This window comes from Homo sapiens, chromosome 8 (assembly GCF_000001405.40).
Source record: "Homo sapiens chromosome 8, GRCh38.p14 Primary Assembly".
In the NCBI taxonomy this organism is placed as follows: domain Eukaryota; kingdom Metazoa; phylum Chordata; class Mammalia; order Primates; family Hominidae; genus Homo; species Homo sapiens.
Window position 1 is genome coordinate 70978950 of NC_000008.11, and position 14004 is coordinate 70992953.

Here is a 14004-nt window from a genome sequence, read left to right on the forward strand (position 1 = left end):
CTCTGAATTTCTCTTCTCACTTCATTTCATTAATTTGATCTTCAATCAATGATACCCTTTCTTCCACTTGATCAAATTGGCTACTGAAGGTTGTACATGCATCGCGTAGTTCTCATGCCATGGTTTTCAGATCCATCAGGTCATTTAAGGTCTTCTCTACACTGCTTGTTCTAATTAGCCATTCATCTAATCTTTTTTCAAGGTTGTTAGCTTCCTTGTGATGGGTTCGAACATCCTCCTTTAGCTCAGAGAAGTTTGTTATTACCGACTTTCTGAAGCCTACTTCTGTCAACTCGTCAAAATCATTCTCCGTCCAGCTTTGTTTCACTGCTGGCGAGGAGCTGCAATCCTTTGGAGGAGAAGGGGTGCTGGGTTTTTAGAATTTTCAGCTTTTCTGCTCTGGTTTCTCTCCATCTTTGTGGTTTTATCTACGTTTGGTGTTTGATGATGGTGACGTACAGATGGAGTTTTGGTGTGGATGTCCTTTTTGTTGATGTTTATGCCGTTCCTTTCTGTTTGTTAGTTTTCCTTCTAACAGTCAGGTCCCTCAGCTGCAGGTATCTTGGAGTTTGCTGGAGGTCCACTCCAGACTCTGTTTTCCTGGGTATCTCCAGCGGAGGCTGTAGAATAGCAAATATTGCAGAACAGCAAATATTGTGCCTGATCCTTCCTCTGGCAGCTTCGTCTCAGAGGGGCACCTGGCTGTGTGAGGTGTCAGTCAGCCCCTACTGGGAGGTGTCTCCAAGTTTGGCTACACGGGGGTCAGGGACCCACTTGAGGAGGCAGTCTGTCTGTTCTCAGAGCTCAAACATTGTGCTGGGAGAACCACTGCTGTCTTCAGAGCCGTCAGATAGGGATGTTTAAGTCTGCAGAAGTTTCTGCTGCCTTTTATTCAGTTATGCCCTACCCCCAAAGGTGGAGTCTACAAAGGCAGGCGGGCCTCCTTGAGCTATGGTGGTCTCCACCCAGTTCGAGCTTCCTGGCTGCTTTGTTTACCTACTGTAGCCTCAGCAATGGTGGATGCCCCTCCCCCAGCCAGGCTTGCTGCCTCGCAGTTCGATCTGAGACTGCTGCGCTAGCAGTGAGCAAGGCTCCATGTGTGTGGGACCCACTGAGCCAATCGTGGGATATAATCTCCTAGTGTGCCATTTGCTAAGACCATTGAAAAAGTGCAGTATTTAGGTGGAAGTGTCCTGATTTTCCTGGTATAGTCTGCCATGGCTTCCCTTGGCTGGGAAAGGGAAATCCCCTGACCCCTTGTGCTTCCTGGGTGGGGTGATGCCCCGCCCTGCTTTGGCTCACCCTCTGTGGGCTGCACCCACTGTCCAGCCAGTCCCAGTGAGATGAACCAGATACCTCAGTTGGAAATACAGAAATCACACATCTTCTGTGCCAGTCATGCTCGGAGCTCCAGACTGGAGCTGTTCCTATTCGGACATCTTGGAACCACCTCTCCCTACTGTTGCTTTAAAGTTTGTTTTGTCTGATATAAGAATAGCTACTTTTGTTCACTTTTGGTGTCCATTTGCATGGAATATATTTTTCACTCTTTTGAGTTTATGTGAGTCCTTATGTGTTAGGTGAGTCTCCTGAAGACAGCAGAAACTTGGTTGGTGAATTCTTATCCATTCTGCCATTCCTTGTCTTGTAAGTGGAGCATTTAGGCCATTTAAATTCAATGTTATTATTGAGATGTGAGGTACTATTCTATTCATCATGCTATTTGTTGCCTGAATACCTTGTTTTTCTTTTCCATTATGTTCTTGTTATGAACATGTGGGTCCTGTGAGATTTATGCTTTAAGGAGGTTTTATTTAGGTGTAATTCAAGGATTTGTTTCAAGATTTAGAGCTCCTTTTAACCGTTCTTGTAGTGCTGGCTTTGTAGTGGCAAATTATCTTGGCATTTGTTTGTCTGAAAAAGACCATGTTTTTCCTTCATTTATGAAGCTTAGTTTCACTGGATACAAAATTCTTGGCTGATAATTGTTTCATTTAAGGAGGCTAAAAATAGGACCTCAATTTCTTCTAGCTTGTAGGGTTTCTGCTGAGAAATCTGCTGTTAATCTGATAGGTTTTCCTTTATAGGTTACCTGATGCTTTTGCCTGACAGCTCTTAAGATTTTTTCCTTTGTCTTGATTTTAGATAGCCTGATGGCTATGTGTCTAGGTGATGATCTTTTTGCGATGAATTTCCCAGGTGTTCTTTGAGCTTCTTGTATTTGGATGTCTAGATGTCTAGCAAGGCCACAGAAGTTTTCCTTGATTATTCCCTGAAATATATTTTCCTGACTTTTAGATTTCTTTTCTTTCTCAGGAACACCAGTTATTCTTAGGTTTGGATGTGTAACATAGTCCCAAACTTCTTGGAGGCTTTGCTCATTTTTAAAAATTATTTTTTCTTTGTCTTTAACAGACTGGATTAATTGAAGGCCTTGTCTTCAAGCTCTGAAATTCTTTCTTCTGCTTGTTCAGTTCGATTGCTGAGACTTTCCAGGGCATTTTGTATTTCTCTAAGTGTGTTCTTGATTTCCAGAAGTAGTGACTGTTTTTTATTTATGCTATCTATTTCACTGAAGAAATTTCCTTTCATATTCTGTATCATGTTTTTGATTTCTTTAAGTTGAACTTTACCTTTCTCTGGTGCCTCGCTGATTAGCTTAATAATTGACCTTCTGAATTCTTTTTCTGGTAATTCAGAGATTTTTATCTTAGTTTGGATACATTGCTGGTGAGCTGGTATGATCTTTTTGGGTGTTAAAAATTTTGTTTTGTCATATTACCAGAATTGTTTTTTTGGTTCCTTCTCGTTTGTGTAGACTATGCCAGAGGGAAGATCTAGAATTCAAGGGCTGCAGTTCAGATTCTTTTGTCCCATAGGGTGCTCCTTGATATGATGTTCTCTCCCTTCCCCTATGAATGGGGCTTCCCAAGAGCTGAACTGTAGTGATTGCTTTTGGTCTTCTGGGTCTAGCCACCCAGTGGAGCTACTAGACTCTTGGCTGGTACTGGGGAGTGTCTGCAAAATGTCCTGTGATATGATCTATGTTCATGTCTTGCAGCCATGGATACCTGCACCTGCACTGGTGGAGGTAGCAGGGGAGTGAAGCAAACTCTCTGAGGGTCCTTGGTTGTGCTTTTGTTTAATGTGCTGATTTTGTGTTGTTTGGCCTCCAGCCAGGAGGTGGCACTTTCAAGAGCACATCAGCTGAGGTACTGTAGGGAAGATGCAAACTTGCCCTAGGGATGCCTCGTTAAGTATTCAGGTTTTTCAGATGGTGGGCAGGGCCATAGAGTTCCCAAGACATTATGACCTTTGTCTTCGGCTGCCAGCGTGAGTAGAGAAAGACCACCAGGTCGGGGCAGGGATAGGGGTGTGTGAGCTCAGCCTCTCCTTGGGCAAAGCTTGATGTGGCTGTTGTGGGGGATAGCAGTGTGGTTCACAGTCCAGTGGAGTTATATTCCTAGGAGAATTATGGCTGCCTCTGCTGAGTCATGCAGGTCACCAGGGAAGTGGGGGAAAGCCAGCAGTCATAAGCCTCTCCCTGCTCCCACACAGCCCCCAGTCCTAAAGGTGGTCTCACTCCCACCGTGCCCCCAAAAAGCACTGACCCTATTTCCAGGCAGCCAGTGACCAGGGCTGAGAACTTGCCCCAGACCATGAGCCTCCTCGTTGAGAAAGCAAGCCGACTCAAAGGTTTTCAGCATCTCAGGAAGCCTGCAGTGGTGATCCAGTTCCTACAAAGGGTCTGTGGATTCTCTTGGCTTTCCTGGTATGTTCCTGCCGTAGTTCTTAGAGCAAAATTTCAGGATGTGAGTCTCCACACACTGCTCTGTATATGAGCAGGAACTACATGCTAGTCCTGCCTCCTATCTGCCATCTTAATCTGAATCATCTCTCTATTTTAATTAGTTTTGAGAACATTTTCTAAGTGGTATTTTTACTCCTCTGTATCATTATTGGGACTAATTTTTATTCTATGTGTCAATATAATTCTGTGTTCACACAACAGCCTGCACGTTAGGTTGTCAGCTGTCACTCATGTGTCATCCATTGTTGTTACATCCAAGAGCTACTGTCACCCCTTCTAGTTTAAATTCTCAAATATGAAGTGGTGGCCCTTTGAGTCAGATAGCAAAGTTTAGATTACAGTGTATCAGTAAACTATGAGAGAATTCTCATCTCGAATGCACAATTGAGTTAAATGACCCACAAGGACTTCAGTGATTACTTCTTCAAGACTTGGTAAATAGCATTCTTTCCCCTTTTCTGGACTAGTCCTTGTTCTTCCTCATTGCCTGACTATTCCTATTTGTTCTTTTGATCTTAGCCATGTCATCTGGGGGACCTTCTGGGACTCCTCTGCTAGATCTCCTTTCCATTCATAACCGTCTGAACTTCCTGTATCACCACTTGACGCAGCCTGTTACCATAATTTCTTATTAAATGTCTGTGTTTCCTGGCAGACTCCATGCAGGCTGGCACTGTGCTCATTAAGCTCTCCCCAGCATCAGCACATAGTGTTTTGCCCATGGTGGATGCTTTATCAGGCCGGGCACAGTGGCTAATGCCTGTAATCCCAGCACTTTGGGAGGCTGAGGCGGGTGGATCATCTGAGGTCAGGAGTTCAAGACCAGCCTGGCTAACATGGTGAAACCTCGTCTCTACTAAAAATACAAAAATTAGCTGGGCATGGTGGCAGGTGCCTGTAATCCCAGCTACTCAGGAGGCTGAGGCAGGAGAATCGCTTGAACCCGGGAAGTGGAGGTTGCAGTGAGCCAAGATCGCACCATCGCAATCTGGCCTGGGGGACAAGGGCAAGACTTCATCTCAAAATAAATAAATAAATAAATAAATAAATAAATAAAATAAAAAATAAAATAAATGCTTTATAAATATCTGTTTAATAAATCAATTGAACTTTTGCTATTTAAGTCGAAGCGAATGTAATTTCTAGCTCACTAGGCCACATGGCTATGGCCAGAATAACCATTCAGGGCCTGAATAACAATCATGATGGAAACAAAATAATGATACCTTTAAGAGGAGCTTACGCTACAAACTTTGGTATGCAAGAAACATCACCTTAAATTATATATATGAAATTATCTTTATTTTTTGAGTTGCTAGCAGTAGGACATTAAAACTCAGTCACTATGGGGGTGTCTTTCCTTTTTCTGGGTGTTCACGAGTCTGGAAAGCTTATGTGATTGGTACCTAGAGAAATGAGAAGTGCCTGTAATCTTCAGTCCATCATTGTTGCCACTGCTATTCTAATTGTTCAGACCCACTGCCTCAGAGGTAGGCAATTCTGCTGTCTGCAGGTCAAGGGGGGCCCAGGGGAATTTCCCTGGCCTGGACCCATGATGCCATCACAATGATCACCTCTGAAGTCTTACTGCATCTTGTGGGTTCTGATCATCTCTGTTCTCTTCCCTATCCTGTGTAATCTCTCCCTTTCTCTTACTTCTCTTGAAGCCACTTGCTTTCTCCTTTCTTTCCTTGCTGGATGTCCCAAGTTGTTCTGGGAAATAAAGACTCAGTAAAACATAAGCCAGCAACTATATTTGACTCTAAGCAGTTTCTGCTATCTATGCTGCAACACAAATGCCTCTAGTGAGAAGATGCCCAAAGGCCTAGCTATTTGTTTTAAATGGGCAAAGGGAAAAAAGGTAAAACAAAATCTCTATAAATTATAGAAAAATTATCCTGTACTTAGTGTTGACCTCATTTGCCCCCTGACAGAATCACTGGTATAGCAAGTAGGGCCATTCTATTCATTAAGTACCTGAGGTACAATGTGGGAATTACCAAGGACTTAAGCCTGTGAAAATGTTGAGAACTAAAAAAATATTAATTGGCTTTAAAATAAGAATTATAAAACTGTAAAACTGAAATTATTAGGAAGTTTAATGGAAAGTCTGTAAAATGTAACATCATGTCATCTTCATTAATTGCTAAATTTAGAATCCATAATAACTTATTACATTTAAAGACAATTTATATGTTAGACTTTTCTCACTTCTCAAGATTTCCCAAGTATTCATAATGATTGCTAAGAAGGTATAACTAATAATAAATTAAATGAGTTATTTATAGTTAGTTATAGATAATTTTCCAAAAACAAAATTATAAAAAGCCCTTTGATTTTTACAAAGCAAAATGATATTTAATATGAAAACATTTTAATATGTTTGATATGTTGTGGGAGGAAATCCCTGAATTTCTAAAATTTGGCATGTGATGTTCCCCTCCTTGTGTCCATGTATTCTCATTGTTTAGCTCCCACTTATGAGTGAGAACATGCAGTGTTTAGTTTTCTGTTCCTGTGTTAATTTGCTGAGGATAATGGTTTCCAGCCTCATTCATGTCCCTGCAAAGGACATGAACTCATTCCTTGTTATGGCTGCATAGTATTCCATGGTGTATATGTGCCACATTTTCTTTATCCAGTCTATCATTGATGGGCATTTGGGTTGGTTCCAATCTTTGCTATTAAGACACATGCACAAGCTGGTGAATCTTAGGTGACATCATCACAATGCACTTTAGATTGCATCTAAGTTTTTATTATCATAAACAAGGCTGAAATGGACAATCTTTGTACATGTATTTGAGCAATGTTTCTGGCATTTCTGAGAATAATTCTATTTTCAAGAAGTGATCATAACTTCTAAGGCATATGCTACCTGAGGAAAATAATTATCTCTTTTTCTTTCTTCCTTTTTCACCCTCCTACCCTCAATTTTTTCTTTCTAAATAGCTTTTCTGAAGAGAATTAAAAATAAAAACAAGAACAAATATGGTAAATTTTTTTTTTTAGGCAATCATTTTATTCCTTTGCTGAAAACTCTACTTTAAAGAGCACGCACAAATATTATGTAAGATAAGAGATAAAAATAATGGAAGTAATCTATAATTCTTCTAATAAACATAATTATAATTCTTCTAATAGACATTTTGTTTAACTCATATTAATTTTATAGTTGTATTTATATCGAAGTCTAGTAGACTGGAAATCAAAAGATTACAGAGGGCAAGTAGTTAATATTTGGTGAAATTCCTTATATCAGGAAACAAACAAAATTCATTACAGACCAAATAATAATACTTGTCACAATAGAATTCTTTCATTTGGCAAAGTTCATCGAAAAGTGAACATGTGTTAAGTAATTAATAGGGCGACAATATGAAGAAAATAGTGATTTTTGGAGTTAACAAAGTTAAAATGAAATACAGATTCTGTTTATTTATTCTCATTTAAACTTCGGCAAGCCACGTAACCTCTCTGTCTTAGCTTTCTCATCCATAAAATAGGAGCACCAACTTTGCAGGGAATTCAAAAATGGAACTATAATTTTTATTTTCCTACTGTATTTTATGGTATTGGAATTATTCTCTGCAAAAAGCTTTCCACTCTATAATAAAACATTGAAAATCTCATACATTGTCAAAAATTCCATATATGTAAGGGGAAAAATATGTAACTTCTGTGTACTAGATGTGTTTTGTTCCTTGACCTGTGCAGAGTAAGGGACATTGTTACATCTTCTATGGCTCTGATGTACAGTGAATCAATCTCTTTCTCTTAAGACTTCAAAATAGGAGACATAGTAGGCTTTTTAGACAGCAGACTTTTGAACTGAAAGGGGACAGAGACAGAAGCCACCTTATTGGGTCCAGTGAAAGCTAACTAATAAGCAGAGGAACATAGACCATGCAAAACACTGGGCTTCATCTGTTCTGGATATATTTTTAAAACACTTCTTACTAGCACCTCTTGAAGAGACTGAATTAGTAAAAAGTAGATCAAACTCCAGGCAGACTCAGTACTTTTGATAGACTTTGTCTTTGTCCGTTTTCACACTGTTGATAAAGACATACCTGAGACTGGGCAATTTACAAAAGAAAGAGGTTTAATTGGACTTACAGTTCCACGTGGCTGTGGAAGCTTCACAATCATGGTGGAAGGCAAGGAGGAACAAGTCTTGTCTTAAATGGATGGCAACAGGCAAAGGGAGAATGACGAAGATGCAAAATTAGAAACCCCTGATAAAACCACCAAATCTCATGTGACTTATTCATTACCATGAGAACAGTATGGGGGAAACCACCCCATGATTCAGTTATCTCCCACTGGGTCCCTCCCAAAACACATGGAATTATGGGAGTATAATTCAAGATAAGATTTGGGTGGGGACACAGCCAAACCATATCATTCAGCCCCTGGACCCTGCCAAATCTCATGTCCTCATATTTCAAAACCAATCATGCCTTCCCAACAATCCCAGAAAGTCTTAACTCATTTCAGTGTTAACTCAAAAGTCCACAGTCCAAAGTTTCATCTGAGATGAGGCAAATCCCTTCTGCCTATGAGCCTGTAAAATCAAAAGCAAGTTAGTTACTTCCTAGATACAATGGGAGTGCAGACACTGGGTAAATACAACTGTTCGAAATGGGAGAAACTGGCCAAAACAAAGGGGCTATAGAGCCCATGAAGTCCAAAATCCAGCAGGGCAGTCAAATCTTAAAGCTCCAAATGATCTCCTTTGGTTCCATATCTCACATCCAGCTCATGCTGATGCAAGAGGTGGGCTCCCACAGCCTTGGGCACCTCTGCCCCTGTGGCTTTGCAGGGTATAGCCCCACTTCTGGCTGCTCTCACAGGCTGGTGTTGAGTGTCTGTGGCTTTTCCAGGCCCATGGTCTAAACCATTGGTGGATCTACCATTCTGGGGTCTGGAGGATGGTGGCCCTTTTCTCACAGCTCCACTAGGCAGTGCCCCAGTAGGAATTCTGTGTGGGGGCTCTGACACCACATTTTCCTTCTACACTGTCCTAGCAGAAGCTCTCCATGAGGACCCCACCCCTACAGCAAACTTCTGTCTGGGCATCTAGATGTTTCCATACATCTTCTGAAATCTAGGTGGAGGTTCCTAAACCTCAATTCTTGACTTCTCTGCACTCACAGTCTCAACACCACATGGAAGCTGCCAAGGCCTGGGGCTTGCACCATCTGATGCCATTGCTCGAGCTCTACGTTGGCCCCTTTCAGCCATGGCCGGAGTGGCTGGGATGCAGGGCGCCAAACCCCTAGGCTGCGCACAGCTTGAGGACCCTGGGCCTGGTCAATGAAACAACTTTTCCTCCTGGGCCTCCAGGCCTGTGATGGGAGGGGCTGCCACGCTATAATGAGAGGGCTCCCACTGGGTCCCTCCCACAACATGTGGGAATTATGGGAGTACAATTCAAGGTGAGACTTGGGTGGGGACACACAACCAAATCATATCAGACTTCCTTTTTCTTGAGAAGATCTCTGTTCTTTAAGAAAATTATCCCTATCTAGAATATCCAGAAAAATCCTAAAATTTTACCATGCGTGGTTAAAAAAAAAAAAAAAGAACTAAACAGAAAAAAACCCAAGCAAATAAAACAAAATAAATAACAGCATATTTTCAAACCAATTAAGTTAACTTCTCCTTGGATTGAATGGCATCTTTACAACTCCACGGTGCTGGAGTTATTGTAGCCTGTTGTATGTGATGAAGGCAAGAAAGATGCTTCTGGTGGAATTATAAAGATTGCCACGATACATGCCACATGGCTCCCTGCATGTCTGATTCTTGTTTCCTATTATTTATTTTTCCTCCATGTGAGCCTCAGTGCCTATTTTGTTATTAGTTCTTCATCCAATTTCTGTGACCCCACAACTTAAAAAAATTATAGTTTAAAAAAGCTATTAAATTCACTGATTTAACTGTTTTAAGTGTGCAGTTCAATAGTGTTAAGTATATTGACATTGTTGTGCAAGAGATGTCTAGAACTTTTTCATCTTACAATGCTGAATCTCTATACCAATAAACATGAATCCCTCCTCATCCCTCCCTCAGCCCTTGGCAACCACTTTTCTACCTCCTGTTTCTACAGTTTTGACTTTAGATACTTATTTGAGTGGAATCGTATAGGATTTGTCTTTGTGACTATCTTATTTCACTTAGCATAATACCCTCAAGGTTCATCCATATTACAGCATGTGACAGGATTTCCTTCTTTTTGAAGGCTGTATTATATTCCATTACACGTATGTACAACACTTTCTTCATCCATTCATCTGTTTGTGGACATTTGGGTTGCTTCTACCTCTTGGCTATTGTGAATAAGCCTGCAATGGATGAACATATAATTGATTGACACATATTTTTGGACATTATCTACTAGGCAGGATTGAGATCTGTTATGGAAACCAGCATTCTGTTAATAGCAGTAGCAGACAACAAGAAGAAAGCATGGAAATCCCCAAATTATTTGCAAAAATTTTATGGTAAATTATGCATAAACATTATCCAAAATTAGTGTTTGCTGTTAATAAATCAATTCGAAATAAAATTTATATTATTTGCCCTTTGTAAATGATAAGGAATGTATTTAACTTAATTTGTTATGTGAGGAATTGCTTTTAAGATTATTAAATTACAAAATATTTTCAGTAGGGAAATGCTATTTTGTTCTTCTTAAACCTTAAAAACAATATGACTCCTTTTTCCAAGGGTCTAGTTAAGACTTTACTTGCTGAGCTGATACTAAATAGCTGAGCTGTGACTCTCAGCTATAGCTGACCCTCAGGTAGAATAGTAGAACAGTGAATGAACCAGTAAAGAATGCAGGCTCTGGGATTAGATCTTCTTCTTCTTGTTCTTTTTTAAATTTTGTAAAGCATTTTATTGTGGTAAAAATATATATAACAAAATTTCCCACTGTAACTGTTTTTAAGTTGACAATTAAATGACACTAATTATATTCACAATATGGTGCAACCCTCACCACTTTCAATTTCCAAAATTTGTCATCAACCTAAACAGAAACTCTGTATCCATTAAGCAGTAAGTTTCTGTTCTCCACTCTCTCATCCCCTAATAACCTCTGATGTACTTTATGCTTCTATGAATCTGCCTACTGTAGAGATTTCATATCAGTGGAATCACACAATATTTGTCATTTTGTGTCTCGCTAATTTCATTTAGCATAATGCCCTTAAGGTTCATCCATGTTGTAGCATGTATCAGAACTTCATGGAATTAGGTCTTCTTGATGTCGATCATCCTTGACTCTTAGCCCTGTTTGTTCCTGGGCAAGCTGGGTAGCCTCCCACAGTCTTTATGTCCTCCAGTGAAAAATGCAGAGGATAGTAATTATAATACCTGCCTAGTTTCTCTCATGAAGTTATTTGGATAATCAAGTAAAATAATGCCAGTGAAATATTTTATAAACTGTCAATTGCTAATATCCATGCTAGATGCTCTAATTGTAATAACTCTCCTTTATAAATATCTTCATAGCAGAGATCTTAAGATCTCTGATATAAAAGCTCACATCCCAGGACTGCTCCCCTGACATGAAAACACAGGGAGATCAGCCTTCCAAAGATGTCAGAATCTGGAGGCAGCATCTGGAAATATAAAATACAGAACTGGAATTCATTTATTTTAATACAATCCTACAAAAAGGAAAGAATTTATATCTTTTGAAATAAAATTTAACTTGCCTGCAATCCATAAAAGCACAGTTATATTTGTCATTCTTAGCTAATTTGGGCTTTCAAAATATCTGAAATGTTATTCTGCTATTTAATATTTCCTAAAGGATCTCCACTTCAGTTCAGTTCTATGAAGCCACGTTCCATTTTAACCCAAATTGCAAGTTTCCGTTCCAATCCTTTAACAGAAAGTGATAATAGCCAAGAGAAAAATTCTCTGAGACTGATAAATCAGGAAGTTTTGGCAGAATAAGAGAGAGAGAGAGAGAGAGAGAGAGAGAGAGAGAAAGAGAGAGAGAGAGAGAACAAGCATGTGTATTTCATGCATCCATCTGGGAACTTTCAGAAACTTGGGATCATTTCATCAGTTTGCTTTTAAAATGGGTATGGAGACTCACCCCTCTTCCCTGGTGAAGTAAAATTACTTTGGATGTATTAAAATTGCCACTGGTGAGAGGTGTGTTTATCTAATTTCATAATATAACAATAGGTCTTTCACCTTCTTCCAAGTCCATATTGATTTTAGCTAAATTATATTTAGGGTGGGAGACAAGACATCTTGATTTAGTGATCCTTATTTTCCCCCAAGATGTTTTTGTTGTTTTTTTCTTTCTTGACAGTCAGCAGTTTGGGGAAAGTAAGAAGAGTTCAGTCTACCCAGAGGGCAGTAGAGCTGCCTGTGAGCAGTTCTACTGTGTCTTGCTGCAGGGAAATAATCCCTGCATGTTGTGTAGGACTCACCCAGAGGTGCAAAGGGCCCAATAAAGCAGCATGAAACGGAGGCTGTAGCTTAACTGGGTCAGTCCTTAGCACCAGAATCTTGCCTGAAAGTATTAGCTTGAATCCATCGATTTGTATATTTTTATAAAGTGACATCCAGGGAGGTTTTACATTTTGATTTTATTAACACAACAAAGGATGAAATAAAAATGAATTTATTCTGTGAAATGGGGAATTATATGCTATTTATAGGCAATATATAGCAATGTATTGTAAATTGTGTTCAGAAAAAAACTCATTCATGGAGATGATTATTGAAACCAGGTGTCTTGATTTAAATAAATTGAGGAAACACTGGCTTAAAGTTAAGCATTTCTCTTAACAGCGTGACTCAGGCTCTTTAACATGCCAGCGTCAGTCCTGAAGCTCCAAGAAAACTGAAGATACTTTTTATTTTGTGGAGTTCCTCTTAGAACCATAGGCATAGAACTATATGCATCATAGAACTATATGCAGCTCCTACAACCATTTCTGTCAAATACTAGAAGACCCTGCTATACAGTTAATTTAAATAATTATAAAAAACTACAAGTAATATACTATGAGGTTTTGATATGAACTGTGAATTTCTTTTGTGTCATGATTGGTAGAACAATCAGCTTGGTGTAAAGAAAGTATTTCTGTCTTCTTTAGATTTGGTTGTCTTTGTTACCTGTTGACTTCTCCCTACATCCATCCCAACCCCATCTTGTTTCATTGTCTGCCTTGCATTTGCAGTGTCCTTTGTCAAAGCCTGTAATATTAATTGCAGATAATCCTTAGTTCCTCAGTCTGTAATTACTCCAAATCCAAATCTGTGTTAAGTACAAAGCTTCAATGACAATTTCTAAGGAGGTTTTGCTTTCTTTTGATGTACCCTGCAAACTGCCTGTAACTTGTTAGCTAGAGTTGATAGAGTTGCATCTAATTCTGCAACTTTATGCTTGCTTTCTGTCTGTATTCCACATACCTTCCTTGAACCATACATTAAGTGAGTAAAGCATTATCTTGTTTCTTAAACTTTCCCCTAAAACATACTGAGAAAATCTCTCAAATTCAAAAATAAATACAATTTGCTGCTTTTTAAGAAATTAGGATAGGTACCTTTCCTCTACTAGATACTCAGAAAGTACCTGTTCTTAGTCTTTAAAAGAGTTTCCATATTCCTTTTGGTGTCCAGCGACCACTCACCTTCTACCAGCACCTCAATTTCCTTTGGATTATTACTTCAAGCATTGTGTTGGCCTCAGTGGAATGATGTACCAGTACTTAAGCTATTGTCTCTGAGCTCTTATCTACTCTGCTTTGCCTGGCTTTGTGAGACCGGTGCAAGGATTATACACATTAATATCTTTCCTTTGTCAGATGACTTCCTGTTTATAGGGGACAATAGAAGGAGACTAGAAGACAGGAGAGGGGAGAAGGAACCTGATATTTCCTGTTTACTAGTAACAAGTTCTGTCTTCAGAGCCCTGGTGTTGGTGTTTCACCCATGCAGTAGCAGTGTCTTCTGGTGTTCAGCTTCTTGCAGCACTCCCACAACCAGGCTGAGGTGTACCCACAGCAGCCTGGCAGAGCACCTTCCCCTCAGAGGTCTGAGTCCAGATTTACAGGCTCTCCTTCCAGCTCTTGAGACACTAGCAGTAGCTGGACTCTGCTGTCTTCTTCAGATATTAAGTTTCACTGACAGAGGGTTTCTCCTGCCTTCTAGAC

At 39.7% G+C, this 14004-nt stretch overlaps 1 protein-coding gene across 1 annotated transcript in view; it reads left to right on the plus strand.

The window, feature by feature from the left end:
• Positions 1–14004, plus strand: part of XKR9 (XK related 9) — a 396467-nt gene that overhangs the window by 309611 nt on the left and 72852 nt on the right. The gene's annotated exons all lie outside the window — the stretch shown is intronic.